At 34.8% G+C, this 17,979-nt stretch overlaps 1 protein-coding gene across 25 annotated transcripts in view; it reads right to left on the bottom strand.

Annotated features, from left to right (window-relative positions):
• Positions 1–17,979, bottom strand: part of SLC4A10 (solute carrier family 4 member 10) — a 360,855-nt gene that overhangs the window by 203,108 nt on the left and 139,768 nt on the right. For all 25 annotated transcript variants that reach the window (NM_001354461.2, NM_001354447.2, NM_001354441.2 and 22 more), the window contains one exon: positions 11,109–11,190. In NM_001354461.2, the coding sequence (NP_001341390.1) occupies positions 11,109–11,190 (82 nt within the window). The remainder of the gene's footprint in view (positions 1–11,108; positions 11,191–17,979) is intronic.

Below are 17,979 nucleotides of genomic sequence, written 5' to 3'. Positions count from 1 at the left end.
ATCCCCAGGGAGAAGCTGAAAGGTGGGGATTTTGTTTGCTTGCTCTATGCTCTGAGCTAGGGAGGAAAAGCTATGGTGGCTACCAATCTAAGCCACCATCTCTATTCTCCCCCAGGTGGCTAGATAATTCCACACCATTAGCACTTTAAGACAGAGAAGACAGAAGCCAGTCCTTTGGGTAGCCCCCATCGAAGTTGGGGTATTGGATGCACAAACCTCCTCTGGGAGAAGCTGAGAGCTGAGACTCTTTTCCCAATTGTATGGTGTTGCGTTGGGGGTAGAAATTTTGGCAGACAGCTGTCGTGAATATCCTCACCAGCTTCGATGGATCTGATTTTGCATTCACCCAGGGTGCAGGAGCCCTTCAATTAGTTGCTGGATTTCCCACAAAGGGAATTTTTCTGTGAATTGTTCCTGAATTGGTGTGTTTGTGGTGGGGACGAAGGTTTCCTACTCCACACTTTGGTGACATCAGTCTTCTGTCATTTTTTCATTGACCATCTATGTTGCTCCCAGTGTCCCCAACTCTTCAAGCAATGGTTCTCACCTAAACACTAGCAGCACTAAACAAGTTTGTTTACTCTTGGCACATTTTTTTCAGTACTATAATTAAACATGATTTCATCGCCAACAGCAAACAAGTTCTTTTTCCTCATATTTAAATAATTTTAATACATATATAGATATCTTATGAAACATTCATCTCGAAACCCAAGCAAAATACAGTTTTTATATAGAACATTTTCTGGTCGATGTACACACAAGTTGAATATTTTTTAAAAAGCATTGTACTGAATTAAAGGACATAAGTGGAAGATATTTATTGAATATGTTTATCAAGATTCACTCACCAAGTAAAGCACACCACTGATACTTCCTCCTGCTTATCTGATACATAAAAGGACATTAGTCCATCATTTCCTGCAGTTCATGTTCCATAACACAGCAGTTGATTAGAAAAATGTAGTTGCTTCTGTTTGAAAATGCAGCTGCTGCTCTGTCCTCTGGCTCACTTTGAAAATTTGTGGTTCTGAAAGCTCAAGATACTATTTTTACTCTTAATATTTAGCTCTGACCTGTGTAGCTATGTTCCTGCTTCTCACTTCCCTTGGTTTGGCCACACTGGTGGAGAGTGGGGCTGGTGGTATGTTTTTTAAGGTTGGGGGAGGGGTTGCAGTCACACAGACAAGATTCTGATAAGTTCACATTCAGGGTTGTTTTGACAGAAAATTAGAATTTATAATTTTACAACATCAGATTATCCTTTTAGATATGTATTTTTTATTAAACATATTATCTCTTCCTATGAAAATAGAAACATGGCAAATAATATCTAAATATTGTTGGGCACTTAAAAATATTTTTATCCAGGCTCAAGCTTAATTTGGAAGAAAATTGTAAACTATATTCTATTTGAATTACTTTACATGCAATAAAGTAATTTTTCCCTGAGAGTGAGATCTAAAGTATTAATAGATTAAATCGAAATGAAAGAATTTTTTAAAAAATCATTGATTTATATGAGCCGCTCTGAAGAAAGCATTAGAAATGTGTAAAAGCTTATTTCAAAAGGGATCATAATAGAAAAATAATTCGACTTAATTTCAATATAATAAAGGCTAAGATTTTTAAATTGCCTGAAACTGGTACTGAGCTTTTCATTAAGGCAGGTATTGTGTGGGTGGACATTGTGAAAGCCCTGTTTAGAGTGCCACAGTCTTATAAGGGCATACTTGGCTAACAAGTGAGCCATTCAGAAATGTACATTGGTTGAAGTCTCACTGTCCTTTTTGTTTTGTAGGAAAACTCTGCTATAATGAGAGATTCCATTTTAAGCCTTCTAATATTTATGACTGTTGTCTTCTTGTGAGTCAGGAATATTGTGATGAGTGATTAATCTGGTTATGTGGAGATATATTCTATTCTTTTAGCATAGCTATAGAGTCTTTACATAATAAATACATATTTTGTCATCTAATTAAATAAAATAATTCACACTCCACTGTGCTATAAAAGCATGACAATCAAAGTTCATTTTTCTCTTATTTTCTTGTTCTGACATGATGGATATGCACTGGCAATAAAAATAAATAAAATGTCGTTTGCAGTAATATGAATGGCATTCAAACTCACTGTGATTTGTAGTACACTGAGTAGCAGTGTGAACCAAGATGGAGCCACATATATTCTTTGTCACAACTACTCAACTCTACCATTGTAGTGCAAAAGCAGCTATACACAAAATGTAATTAATGAACATGGCTATGTTCCAATAAAGCTTTATTAATGAACATTAAAGTCTGAATTTCATGTAATTTTATGTCATAAATATTATTTTGATCCTTTCCTATCATTTTTAAATGTAAAAATTATTCTTAGCTCAAAGGCCATGCAAATAAAGGTGGCAGGAAAAAATTTGGCCAATAGGCTATTGTTTGCTAATATCCTTGGCATAAGATTTTAGAGGTAAAATATTAGAAAGTAGAGGACCAGCCCTAATTTTTTACTTTTTTTCTTTTCTTTATTTTTAAAACTGTTTTTCAATTTAGTTGCAAAATATTATAATTATGAGATGTGCACTTATTATATTTGGCTTTTTAGTCTAAAACACTTGAAATTACAATAATTCTAGTTAGAAAACAATTTTAGTTATCTTTAAGAGCTCAGGAATGCACTGGGTGAAATGAGAAAAGCAGGAGAATACTGCCATTGATAGAATTATGTTGTATAATAGCTTTGTGCTAGGTGCTTTACTTATATTATCTTTGAACTTTGGGTCTTGCTATGGTTTGGATATGGTTTGTCCCAACCAAAACTCATGTTAAAATTTGATGTGGCAGTATTGGGAGGTGGAGCCTAGTGGGAGGTGCTCAGTTCATGAGGGCAGATCCCTTATGAATGGCTTGGTGCCCTTCTCATGGTAGTGAGGGAGTTTTCACTCCTGCAAGATGGCATTAGTTCTCATAAAAATGGATTATCTCCCTCAAGAGCAGGTTGTTATAAAGCAAGGATATTTCTTGAGTTTTGCCCTTTCACACATGGCCACTTCCACTTTGACCTTCCACCCTGTTAAGATGATGCACAAAAGCCCTCACCAGAAGCCAAGAAGATGCCGGTGCCATAGTTTTTGAACTTCTCAGCCTACAGGACTGTGACCTAAATAAACTTCTTTTCTTCATAAATTACTCAGGTATTCTGTTATAGCAACACAAAACAAACTAAGACAGGTCTATAGTGTACTATGTGGCCCCAAAAGGAAATAAACTAGTAAGCTGATTCTTTTTGCCCAAATGCAAGGAGTAAAAGAATATCAAGATGGGGCATTATTTTCTCCACTAAGCTTTTGACTTAAAAGATTTTAATATCTGCTAAAAGCAATACAGTTTTTTTTAAAGTATCTTTAAATTTAATTTGCAGGCCAAGATTTTATTATTATTTTAACTTTTTCATTAAAGTTATACTTTTATGAATTCCTGAATATCAGATTAAAATGTAATCAGATTTATCTTAGTATATGCATGTCATTAGAAACTTCTGTATTTATGTGTTAAATGTTTGAATATTTGATGAACATTAATTAGGCACCTAATTACATTATGAATTAAAGGTATTGCATGATCAGTGACATATTATTGAAATATATATGAATGGCACTCAATGCAACACATTTTTTAGTACCTATCCAGTTTCAGTAAAAGTGCTGGATCCCAGGGAGAATGCAACAATGTAAAAGATGAAAATTTGTCCCTCAATGAGTTTATAATCAATAACAAAGACATATAGATATGTAAAACAATTATATAAGAAAAGGCATAAACTTTCATAAAGAGAGGTTAAGAGGAGAAAGATAATTATTATTATTATCTGGGGAAAAATGATAGCTCTTAGAAGGTAGCACTAATGGATGGGCAGAATGAGCATTCTATTTTTGTGTAGAGGAAAACACTAGCAAATGAAGGATATGAGAAGGTGTTAATTTGGCATTGGACAATACAGAAAGTTTTTGAACAGAAAGTCTGTAATAATATTCCTAATGTTATACTACTTCTATGTTCTCAGACTGTAGAAAGTAGCAGAAATTATGTTATAAGCACTTGCTAAAACATGGGAAATAACATTCTCTCTCTCTAAGTAGGTTGTCTATATAACAATGATTTGGAAAAGAAATTCATCCTGTATAAACCTAATGCAGGTTATAACGTGTAATGTTAAGAAACAAAGAGATGTAATGAGTAAAACTGTTGGCATCCTATACCATATGCAAAAATTAACTCAAAATGAATCAAAAACTTAAACTTCAAGACCCAAAACTATAAAGCTCTTAGAAGGAAACTGATATGGTTTGGCTCTGTGTCCCCACCCAGATCTCATCTTGTAGCCCCATAAATCCCATATGCTGTGAAAGGAACCCAGTGGAAGATGACTGAATCATGGGGGTGGGTCTTTCCCGTGCTGTTCTCGTGACAGTAAATGGGTCTCAGGAGATCTGATGGTTTTAAAAACGGGAGCTTCTCTGCCCAAGCTCTCTCTCTTTCTGCCTGCTGCCATCCATGTAAGATGTGACTTGCTCCTTCTTGCCTTCCATGATTGTGAGGCCTTCCCAGCCACGCAGAACTGTAAGTGCATTAAACCACTTTCTTTTGTAAATTGCTCAATCTTGGGTATGTTTTTATCAGCAGCGTGAAAATGGACTAACACAGAAACATAGGAAAACATTTCATCATATTGAATTTGGCAAAGATTTCCTGGCTATGACATTGAAAGCATAGGCAATAAAAGTAAAATATACAAAATGAACTGTATCAAACTAAAAAATGTCTGTGCATCAAAGGACACAACCAATAGATCTAATAGGCAACATATAGAATAGGAGAAAATATTGACTAATCATATATCTGGTAAGAGGTTACTGTCTAGAATATGTGAAGACCTCCTACAACTCAATAACAATAAAACAGCCATGTTAACCTATAATAATTAAAAATTTTTTTACCCTATTAAATTTTTTAAAAAATTAAAAATTAATTTTAACTTTTTTAAATTAAAAATTAATTTTAATTTTTTTAAATTAAAAATTTGATAGGGTTAAGTGTCTATTCAAGTCACTTGCCTATTAAAAAAATAGACAAAGGACTTGAATGGACATTTCTCAAAGTTGATATGCAAGTGAGCAACAAGTACATGAAAAGATGTTAAACATCAGTATTAGGGAAATGCAAATCAAAACTACAGTGAGATATCACCTCACATCCATTACCATAACTATCAAAACACACACACACACACACACACACACACACACACACCAGAAAATAAGTGTTGGCAAGGATGTGGAGACCCCTTGCGCATTTTTGTTGGGAATGTAAAATGGTGCAGCCACTATGGAAAACAGTATGGCAGTTCCTCAAAAAATTAAAAATAGAATTATCACATGATCCACTATTCCCACTTCTGGGTATATCTTCAAAAGAATTGCAAACAAGATCTCAAAGAGATATTTGCACATCTATGTTCACAACCACACTATTCACAATAGTGAAGCAACTCAAAAGTTCTACAGTTGAAAGGACAGGGGAAATGTGGTATATGCAATGAGATGTTATTCAACTTTAAAAAAGGAGAAAATTCTGACTCATGCCACAATGTGACTGAAACTTGAGGACTTTATATACTAAATAAAATATGTCAGTCATGAAAAGACAAATAGTATATGATTCCATTTGCATGAATTATCTAAAGTAGCTAAATTCACAGAAACAGAAGGTAGAATGGTTGTTGACAGGAATTGGGGGCAGAAGAAAAGGGGAGTTATTGTTTGTATAGCAAGTTTCAATTTTGCAAGATGAAAAAATTCTGGATATTGGTTGCATAACAATGTGAATACACTTAACATTACTGAACTGTACACTTGCATTACTGATGAAAATCAGTATGCCTCTGAGGGGGAATGGCAGAGTTTCATCTCAAGTTCTGCTGCTTTTAAAGACCTAAAGTATGCATCAGTGTGGCCACAACAGAAACTTGCCACATCCTAGAGGGTGATTGGACTATTTCAAACTCGACTAACTAGTAGCACCAATTTCAGCTAACGTTTAAGATAGTAAATCTTATGCTATTCCTATTTGATCTACATAAAAATATTTTCAAATAATTAAGATAAACAGTCCATTGTTTAATAGTATCTCCTTGATTGGTAATTGATCACTGCATTCAAAATGGCTGAAATTACAGCACATCACCTTTAGCTATTAAATTTTCTTCTCTTTATGATCATTTAAGTAGTTAATAGATCATATTATTTAAGTAACTTGCTTCATTAATTTACCCTTATGCCTGCAGAAGATACAACAATGTTCATACGTGAAAAAAAAATATCCATTAAATTTTAAAAAGTGCCATCATTCATTCTGAGAAAACCTGGACAGGACAAAGGTGAACAATGAAGAGAGAACTGAGGTGAATAAGAGTAACTGAAGGGGCACTGGGTTACTTTCACTGAGTCCCTATAGAAACTCGCCTCACCTCTTCATGCATCCACCCTGGAGTTTAAGGCTCAGTATAGAGTGGCATTCTCTTTCATATTGTTTTTTCATCAGATTCACTGAGAAACAGACACCGAAATGTGTCTCTCTTACCAAGACCTCCAACACACTTGCCACTTCCTGGTCAATGGGTTAATATAGTGAAACAATGTGAAATTCTGGATAACATTCACTCATCCAAATCCTCTTGGACTCTATTATGATAGAAGGTAGGAGAGTTAACATAGCCCTGGAGCAAGACTATAAATATGTACTGTTGTACTTCCCACAGGAATGGTAACTACCCCTGGTACTCCTTTTTGATAGTAATTGGGAGAAAAATATATTTTCCAGATCAGTAGCTGCATACCATGTTCCTGAGGCCATGTTATCCTGCTGTAGCCAAGATCCCACATCTGATATGGCAGCTGCAATTGGTGCTACCAGTTGGGTGAATTTGAAGTAGTCCATTATCATCCTCTAGGATGTGACAAGTTTCTGTTGTGGCCACACTGACACATAATTTAGGCCTTTAAAAGCGGCAGAAACTTGAGAAGAAACTCTGCCATTCTCCCTCAGATGCAACACTGATTTTCATATACTATCATATTCAAATCAAGTAGTTTAGAGTCCCCTAAGCCACTACAATAGTTCTTAACTCCACAAGCTAAATAACCAATGTGGTGCTCCTGCCAACTACCAAGTACGTCTATCGGTACTATTCAGGGAACAGGGAAATGATCAATTGGAGGATTGGCTTTCCTAGGAAACAGATTCTGAGATATGTGTTGAGGGAGTCTGTTGAAGATAACTGTCAGCAATAACAACACTGAAGGATTATGGGGAGCAGAATTTGTTTGGTACAGGGAGAGCTTGAAATTATGGTGCAATTGCAGTAGACGTCTCAACTGATTCCACATGGAACTCTGATGCTAGGCTAGCCCTTCACAGTTGTCTCATATTGAGGCAAGGGGGCTAGGCTTTTGTAAGCCTTCATTGACTACAGGGTCATGTACTCATTGAGTTGTACTCATTCAGTAAAACCACAGGGGAGGCAGCTCCTATAGGCAAGAGGCAGCTCCTTTCAGCTGAAGGTAATTCTTGGGGAGGAACGTAGGTATAAGCCATCAAGCAGGCAACACCTCTGGCAACTGAGGAAATAAATACCTCAGTCCTCAAAGGGGAATATTGGTGGTTCACTGTAACATCCACTACTAAGGTTTCCAGATTTAGCAAATAAAAAATAATAAATAAAAATATTGCATGGGATGTACCTATACTAAAAAGTTGTTTATTATTTGCCTGAAATTCAAATTTATCTGGGCATCTTATGTTTTATCTGACATGTGTTAAAGGGAAAGTAGAAGAAATAATTTTAAGGGTATTAATGTATTTCCCATTTTATAATCTTATACTTAGATAGTACTCATCTCACATTGATGTGGGAGGCCAAAAACAGAAATTGCTTAACCTCAAGAATTTTTGCTTTACTCAGAATCCTGAAGTTGTCTAATTACAGAGATTCAATACCCTTCACCGTTTTTATTGCAGGAAACAGAAGTAGGCTTAGAAAGAACACTCTGGCAGTATTAAGGAGGCTGTATAATGGGAAAGACTCAGTCCACAGTACATAGGAGAGAGAGGGAAGTAGAGCAGTGGCAGTGGGAATGGAAGGGAGAGGAGATGAGTAGAGACACCACTGAGATAGATTGAAAGAATGTACCGACCGCATGATTTACAAAAATAGGAGGTTAATAGAAGAATCTAGTAAGATAGTTTTCTTTCTATTTTAATAGGAGGAAAAGACATAAAATTGTACAAGATATACATAAACAGATTTAGAGAGAGAAAATTATACATTTGATATATCATTTAGCAGAATGTATAATACACATATGAAGAAATTAACTAATATACCAACCTGTTGTTATTGAGCAGGGGATCATTTCCCATTAAATATATTGCACCTGAGACTTTACAGATATTTTTAAACATCTGGCATTTCTACAACCTGTACTCAGAATGTTACATTACACCAGTAATTTCATTAAATAAATATATACACATAACTCCTGAGAAACACTCATTTTCAAATGTAAAATTTTAAGAGTTTATTTTTTTAAACGCGTTTATCTGTAATAGCAATTCCCAACTCCATTGTATTTAAAATATTTATTGTGTATTAGCTGCCTTAATAAAGAAGCTCTTTGGAGTTTTGTTCTTTTCCTTTAAATTGCAAAAAAGGAGGATACTACAATTTGAATGTGTTCCCAAAAGGCGTGTGTTGGAAATTTAATCCCTGGTGCAACAATTTGTGAGGTGGGGCCCAATGGGAAGTATTTAGGTCATGAGAGCTCCACTGTCAGGAATGGATGGATTAATGTGGATTATCAAAAGGCTTGAGACTGTGAGTTCAATCTCACTCCCTGCTCTCATCCTTCCATCCTCCACCATGGGAATGATACAGCACAAAGGTCCTCACCAGATATGGACCTCCCAATCGTGGACTTCCCAGTCTCTGGAGCTGTTAGATATCAATTTCTTTTCTTTATAAATTATCCAGTCTGTGGTATTCTGTTATAGTAACACCAAACAGAAGATGAATTACCATAGTCATTATCTCAATAATGCTACCTTTCTCCTTGGTGCTCTCCCACTTAAAATCATGTGATATTCTGCTGCCAGCTGATTCTTGCTGAACTACAATACCCATCACTTCACTCTTTCACTATTTCCTGACTCTGGCTAATGGATCCAGAACAACTAGTAGATCTATTAAATTTTTGCATGCATCACAACAGAACCCTCAATAGCATCTTCAAATGCTAGATTGTTTATTTAGTATGGGCTGTGTGTAACACAAATATTAGAACGTCAATATAAACCAGATTTTTTTCCTGTTTTCCTTCAAAATTGTAAAATTCAATGTTAATTTGCATTCTATAGTTAATTTTAATCACCAATGACTTAATCACTGTTATTAGCTTATTGGATTCAATTACCCATAATTGAAATCAGTAAATAGAACAAAATCTGGCTAATCCAGTTGTGCTCTACCAATCAGAAATCTCTTTTAGTAAGCATTGCACACCATTGTCTGTATTTCTTAACTATGCCAAACAAAGCATATGTAATATATGTAGGTATAACAATTAAAATGATCTCAGTAAATGCTATTTTTTATTAAGTATTTTCCAATAAAAAGGACCATTCACCATCTTTAAAATCAAGATGATTTTTTCTTGGAATTGAGTATATTTCTAGGCTACCATCTTGCTTTGTTAGTTTTCTTGGTGTGTGTTTAGTAAATATAAGGATAGCTTGTCATAGCATGACATAAATAGGAAGGTAAATATGTTGTTTTAAAAAATGTAATGGCATTTCGAACTCAAAGATAAATTATTTTTATGTTATCCATTACCAGTCTAGATTTTTCAAGGTTTTGCTCCCTTAAATTTATGTAATGAATGTGGATAGCATAGGAAATCAATAGGCCCCCCCAGTAAGCATAACCTTCTTAGATCTGAGTATGTTTGTGCAACAAGCAAAATGTCAGGCAAGAGTCGGTATAGTTGTTGAGAGTTGTTTCTAAATATTATAGTAATTCTCCTGTTATGTCAGTGTTGTGACTAAAGATAAGATCCAAGAGCAATTAATTTAATTGTACTGTAAATGGTTACATTACAAAGTTTAAAATGAAAAAACCCTTACCTCTCAACTCAGTGGTTTATTGGGAGCTCTCTCTGATGACTTGTACTTAAGATCACCTTGCTTTTACTTTTCAATCAAAAGATGACAAATACTATACCTTGTATCTCATTAGTAACAATTTCTCATTAGTAACAATTAGCTAATCCTGTATGTACACTAAATGTTGGTATAACAATAATTGACAGTATTTACACAACTCTTTGGCCAGGTACTATTCTAAGTAATTTTCCCTTAATTCTCATAGAAAAACTATGAAATATATTCCATTATTATCCTTGCTTTAATAGTTCAGGACCCTGAGGTTCAGAAAAGGTAAGTAACTGGCTGAAGTTCCTATGACAAATAAGGGGCAGCACTGGTATTTGAATCCACTGCAGTCTGGTTTCAGAACCCATACAGTTAACCACCGGGCCATACTACCTCCCTGTTGAATTAGGCATCCTTCTTCCCATTAAAGAGAACACACAAAAATGGTGACTATACCTCTGACAACATAGGCTGAGTTAGATGCCCCTCCCCCTCCTGTCCTACATTCACCTCTCACACAGCACTTGATATGCTGATCTGTCATCATGTCTCAATTGATTGTAATTACATGAAGCAAGGATTATTGAAAGATTGACACACAGTACAGTGCTTGGAATACAGTAGGGATTCAATAAATGTCTGTTGGATGAACTGATGCTTCTCATTGATTTCAGGTCTGCCTATTGACATTCCAAACTGTACCAAAACAATCAGATGTACCCCTCCCCAGTAAGCTACCATTACTCTGATACCAACTTTTGCAATTCTTCACAATGTGACAAACTACATTTATCTGTGAAATACTTTTGGAAAGCACACCAATAGCTATCCCAAGAAAAATGGTCTTACCTTCTAAATCTTCTTTCTCAAAGTGTGTTTTGAGAATAGAACGAGTTCCACCTCTATCCACAACTGCTTCTTCATCATTTCTCTGTTAAATGAGGATAAGGAAGATTAAATGATAACACACATATTATCTCAATTTCAAAAAACAAACCTTGATATAATTTAATATTTCAAGGCTTAATTCAGTCATTTAAATCTAGTTGTTCATGAGTAGTCTATTTGATTAGTAAGTGTTGGCTTAAAAAGAAGAGTAAAATAAATTTGACCACATATTTGAAGAAATATCATCTGGTTTTTTATAACATTGGAGGCAGTCAAACATTCCAGTTGGCACCATTTGTCAGTGAGATGAAAAACAAAAAAAAATAGTTATTCTATCAATTTAGTAAAATGCATTTTTATCCTTGATAAAGAATTCTTGTTAACAAGATGACATTTTGAACTATGCAAGGAAAATATGAAAATCATTAGTATTAACACCACTAATGCTATGGCAGGGTAAAATAATTCCACTGTCATTAAAAATGGGATTGGGGGATCTAATCTCTTGAAAGCAATTAGTAGCAATTATTAGATAAAAGGCAACTCTAATTACTTTGCTTCAGTATAATGCATTTTATTGAAACTAAAGAGTAAATTATGATCATGTGCATTAAACCTTCTAGTGTCTCTCTATATTTTTGCCAATTTAGAATGAGTGGATAGAGACTATGTCTTCTGAGTACTAAACACATGCTCAAAATAATACAGCCACTAATTTGGTACTCAAAAAATAATGGCAGGGGGGCTGAGTATAATCTATTTTGACAATGCAGGAATAGACAAAATACAAAATTCTGAAAGAAATAAAATGTAAACTATTATATTTCCAACTTTTATCTAGCTGTGCACACCTCTATAAAAATTACCTTAAAAGTGAACACTGAGCACAAAAGGTGAAATAAAAAGATATACTAAAGGTGAATGAAGCTTCCAAGATCTATTCCTGTCTATTCCAGTATATGACTAGTAGAAAAAAGGTTTTTGTTTCCTCTTTGAAAGCCAGAGTATGTTGAAAAGAAATTTTTTAAAAAATTAAATTTAAAATGTAAAAACATTTTTTTCTTCTATCCAGCAACTACATTGGAGCATCAGACATTGGGGACCTGCCTTTCTTCCATTAAGGAAGAAATCTTTTGACAGAGTGCCATAATATGTAGTAGTGAATACAAGAGTCATGGGAATCCAGAAAAGAAAGAAATTACTGTTAATTTAAGAGCATGGAAAGAACAGAGAGAGGGGGAGGAAAAATTTCAATATCTCAATCTTGGAGAATTCTTATAAATAGCGCACATGAAGAATTACAGTAAGGAGAAGAGAAATGAAAGAAGAATCAATAATGTCAAACAACATATAGACATTTTTAAAAATGATGCAAAATTATTTTCCAATGTTGTTGAACTTGGACTACATGATCATTGGTAACCTTCTGAGGGGAACATATAAGGAAAATGCTAAAGTCAAAATCTAATCAAGCAAAACTAATGAGGTGATCTATCATGAAGAAATGAGGAAAGAGGATATAGTTCTTGCCTTGCAAAGCGCTGCTGATTCTCATTAGCTTACCCCCCACTGCATATCTTTGCTTTTAGATCTTTGACTAGACTTAAGTTCCAGTAGGCCTTGAAAGGTGAGGTACAAAATGTGACCCACAAGGAGTTGAGCTACATTCCAAATAACTGCAAGATGTTTCCAATTTATACAGACAGAAATACAGGAAACATATGTGGGAATGGATATTAAGGGTGTTGAGGTAACAATGGAAGGAATATAACATTGGCTCAGGCTGACTTTATTGATATGGGCCCGCTAAGCAGAGATTCTAGATGTAATGTCGTCACTCAAGGGGTTAGAAAGGGCTCTAACAGTTTGGTTAGTCGGCTAAAACAAGAACCAAAAAAATGGGCTATACTAAATGAAGTTGAAATTCCAGAACTGCTTTGTTACACTGTAGAGGAAAGTATATAAAGGCTTAGGAAAACTGAAATGTTAGAGTAGATTTATAATTTAAGGCCTGCTCGCCCATACCAGGAGGGCCCAGAAGATGCATCTTTCACCATGACTATGGGAAACGAATTTGTGATAGGAACCCTAGCATCCTTGAAGAGCTCTATGGTCTCTTTCCTCTGTGGGTCAGGTATTACAAGGGAACTGCTGTCATCAAACTGGAATCCTAAAATGGAATCGGATAATTAGATCCCAGGCAGGACAGGGGCCAAAAGACAGCACATAATCACTAAAGATGGGTGTAGTTACCATATAAACAGTAGTAAAAACAGTAATCAGAATAGTCTGATTCAGAGACCTATGGTATTGGTTAGTTGATCAAGGTGTCACTAGAAGTGAAATAGATGGGAAGTCTACTAAATTCTTATATGATCTGTAGAAGAAAAAAGGTCAGGTTCTAGGTCAGTAAACAAGTCTAACTTGAATCATAAGAAGAGTCATGGTCTTTCTATAAATGTCCGTACTTGAGCCAATTTACAGACCCAGAACCTCTTGAATGAAGGAGAGGCCAGATCCACTAGAGAAAGGATCTTGCTACATTGCCAAAAATTTGTAGTCTTTCTTACAGCCTTCCCCAAAGAGACCTACCATCTTTTACCAGAATGAGTGTGCACTGGGGAAAAGAAAATAATCGGACTTTGGGGAAAATAACTGGACACTGTCTCTGAACTGACACTATTCCGAACAGACTGAAAATGTCACTCAGGCTCAGCAGCCAGAGTAGGGACTTATGGATGTCAGGTAGTCAATGAGGTTCTGGCTGAAATCTGTCTCACTGTGGATCCAGTGGGTTTCTGAACACATCTGGTGGCTATTTCCTCAGTTCAAGAATGAATAATTGAAAGAAAAATAGATTATAATTGGGGAGTCTTCAAAATCAGAGTATTTGTTTTCTTTTCAAGTCAGTTAGACCTTTGCCTATCTGAAGGCTAAAGGAAAGGTGTCAATATAGAAGAGACTAAGATGCTAGGAAAGAAGTAAATAAAAATTCCCCCTAGCCCAGGTGCTAAAAAAGAATATGACTCTGATCTAAGGACTAAGCTACTAGCATTAAAGATAGGGACACCTTTTTTCTGAGGTTTTGGGGGAAGATTGGAAGGGTTGTTATGTATTCAGAGATGTTCTGAACAAACAAAGAAAATTGTAGGTGAGGAACCTTCTACTAGGTGGCCTTGTTTTGGGGGGCAAACTGAGAGGCGATATCATCTTCCAATGGTAACAGAGCAAGTAAATGAAGAAGTTGAGACATTGAGAAGCATGAAAATTCCAAATCCTTTTCAAGAATGATATTTTAGTTGACATTATCAGGGCCTTTTTGTGGATAATCAGAACAGATAACTATTCCCACCAGTTTTAATTTCAGATGACCAAGGCAAAGGATTGTAAGAGAAAAATATCACAATATTTTCTGCTTCCTTTGGATAACACATTAAAAACAATTAAAACCCCCATAAGAGCAGAGTATAGCAAGTTCCACCATTCTTAGACATTAACAATCTGTTTCCACTTAGCTTTTCTGATTAGTTTACTGCTGTCTTAGAAAGGAGTTCAGGGAGTTAGATACTGAACTGGTAAATGAGGTGTGAGGTATATGGTTAAGTGTTTTCCTAACTACTTATGAGGATGGCATAAATAGCAGTGTTAAAACACAAGAAGTTATAGTCAGGTGTCTGAAGTATGGATAAGTACAACTAACACACATTATGTTTTATACCGAATAAAGTTTAAAAATGCTCATGTCTGTGAAAAAGCCTGAATATATATATATATATATATGTGTATATATATATATATGTGTATATATATATACACACACACACACACACACACACATATATATAAATAAAACACACACACACACACACACACACATATATATATATATATATATATATATATATATATATATATATATATGCTTCTTAATTCTTTAACATAACCTTGATAAAGATTTTTGCCTCCATGTTTTACAAATCAGTACTTTCAGGTAAAGGATTATAGATACATTTCAACAAAGGAGGTCAGCTCTCCTGTGCATCACACATAGCAAAATACATAGTGGAAAGATATGTTTTTTAGCCTGTGGTCTTATATCTTTCTGACAACATATGCTGAGACAGATCAGGGCTAAGTGTTTGCAATCAGAGTTAAAGAAATGTATGAATGGAAAAAAATTTTTAAAAATGAAAATAAAACAGGATTCACAGCCATTGCTTTGCTCTTCAGTAGTTTTTAAAATGACTTGGTTAGAGCAATAAAAGCAACAGAAAAAAAAAACTAAAAATGGGGTATATATAATTTTCCCAAACCAGAGAAATACAAGTTGAAGCCTATTAAGACTCTGTTATTGATATATTTACAAAGCAAATTTATTATTTTTGCAAGACATAGTCAAATATATGTCACATTAGAATGAATCTCTGCCCTCTGAGGTGCTGTTAGGCAGAATGCCAAAAGCTAAGTCATGTATCCATGTTCAAAGGTCAAAACAAGCACTATTCCACTGTGTCTTACAATGGCAGTCTCTTAAAAACAACTGCAAAATGGAAAGCTTTGTGTAAAAGGCCAGAAGATGTTTTCCCCTAAGCAGTGAAACGTTTAATTTTTATTTCAAGAACCTGAATCAATTTTTAATTTATACAAATAATTTTTCTCTTTATTTATATAAGGCACCTATGCTATCCTCAACCAAAACACAATTCCATTAAATAGTTGGAAAGATACTGAGAGTGAAATTTTACAGCAGAAGCAGTAGAATCTAAATAAGAAATAGTTGATTATTTAATTCCTATACAAGTTGCAAGTAAAAATGACTGAATTGTAATGTTTATTTGAAAGAAAAATATGAGAAGCTAGAATATGAAAGTAATTCAATGTAAGTGTCTCATTTTGAAGCTTCATATACAGTACGCCTTTTAAATACTCACTGGATGCTTCACAGAAAAATCCAATGTATACTCTTTTAGGCAAACAAAAATCCCAAGATACAAATTAATACTAATACATGTACTAAAAGTCCTCTACTTTTGTTACAGTTTGAAAGATCATTTCAATATTATTCAAAACTTTTTAATAGAGCATTTCCCTTCCTCCTTGTTACCAAGAGCAAGTAAACATGGGGTATGATGAAGGGAATGCAGAGGGACATACAGCACCAGGTGCCAGCCTTTTGGTTACCCCAAACACATAGTAAGATAAATTTTCATTTCATTTTGTACTGAGTTACTCTCTAGATTCATTGAACATCAAACACATTAATGCATCCTAATTTCCACATGTATTTGCTCATTTAGGAGCAAATTTTAGCACTGTGTAAGGAAGAAAACACATAAACATATTGCATTGCCCCTTAATACAATCTACCCTTGTACACCATCAGGATACACTTTTTTTTTTTTTTTTTGAGTCTTGCTCTGTCACTCAGGCTGGAGTACAGTGGCATGATCTCAGCTCACTGCAACCTCTGCCTCCTGGGTTCCTGGGTTCAACCAATTCTCCTGCCTCAGCCTCCTGAGTAACTGGGCTTAGAGGCATGCACCACCATGCCCGGCTAATTTTTCCATTTTTAGTAGAAACGGGGTTTTGCCACATTGGCCAACCTGGTCTTGAACTCCTGACCTCAGGTGATCCGCCTATCTTGGCTTCCCAAAGTGCTAAGATTACAGGCGTGAGCCACCACGCCCAGCCCCATTGGATAAACATTTATAAGATAATCAATTCCGGTAAGTAATATAGGACAGTGTTTTAAAATTTTTTTGGGCATGACCCATAGTGAGAAATACATTTTATATCTCAACATAGTCACATACTTATATATGTGTAAACAAAACAAAAATTTCACAAACCAATACTTACTATTAACAATGCACCCCAATATTTTCTACTCTATGGTATTCTACTCCATTTGAAAATACTCATCACTAACTGTTAAATTTATTTCAAGACTTAATAGGTTTTCACTTGCAAGTTGAAAAGCACTGGTAAAGACTATTGCCCTGGAACAGAGTAACAGTAACTAATCCGACAGAAATCACACCTTAAGTCCATTTACATAGGCTTCTAATCAAATGAACAAACTATAATTCATTACTTTTCAAGTTAACATTTTCCCATTTTAGAAGTGTCAGTTGTGCTAAGTTTAGGAACGGAAGAATTTTTTTATTGTTACATTTTACTAAGCAAATATTAGAGAGCAATAGCAAAAAAAGGTTTCTAGCTCAACTTTCACATCTGAACCAGTGCATTTCCTCATGGAAGAGCAGCTAATATGGGCCACCGCATTTCATTGTTACAATGTTCACATAAAAATATCAACTATTTCTTCTGGAATTGTTTGTGAATATCATTAATCTCTTTATGAATATGTTAAAAAAATACATTATTCTGATTTACTGTAACTCTTGCCCATGGTCTGAACAAAATATGTTTTTCCCAGTTTTACAAAATAAAACTAACAATAATGCCATGAGCTATAAAATTCAAATATGTTATATCCATTTTGTAAGCCTTTTAGTAATTCTTTTTGCATTCTAGAATGAATAGAGGACAAAGCAGTTTATTTTCAATTCTGAATTCTTTCTTCAACTACTTCTAACCCTGTCATTCTACTCTGTTCCTTTCCTCTCCCAATAAACCTCCACTTTCATTGATTTTTTATTTAGCCTTCCACTATTACCACTTGATAATCTAAGCAATTATATTTATATGTTAATATATTCTCCTTTCTTTAAAAAAAGATAGCATGCTAGAAACACTTTCTTGTGTCTTGCTTTTCTTACTTAACAATATATCCTGGAAATTATTTTACAGTATGTAGAGATCCTTCTTA

Source organism: Homo sapiens, chromosome 2 (genome assembly GCF_000001405.40).
Source record: "Homo sapiens chromosome 2, GRCh38.p14 Primary Assembly".
Lineage (NCBI taxonomy): Eukaryota > Metazoa > Chordata > Mammalia > Primates > Hominidae > Homo > Homo sapiens.
This window is presented reverse-complemented; position numbering and strand designations above follow the sequence as displayed.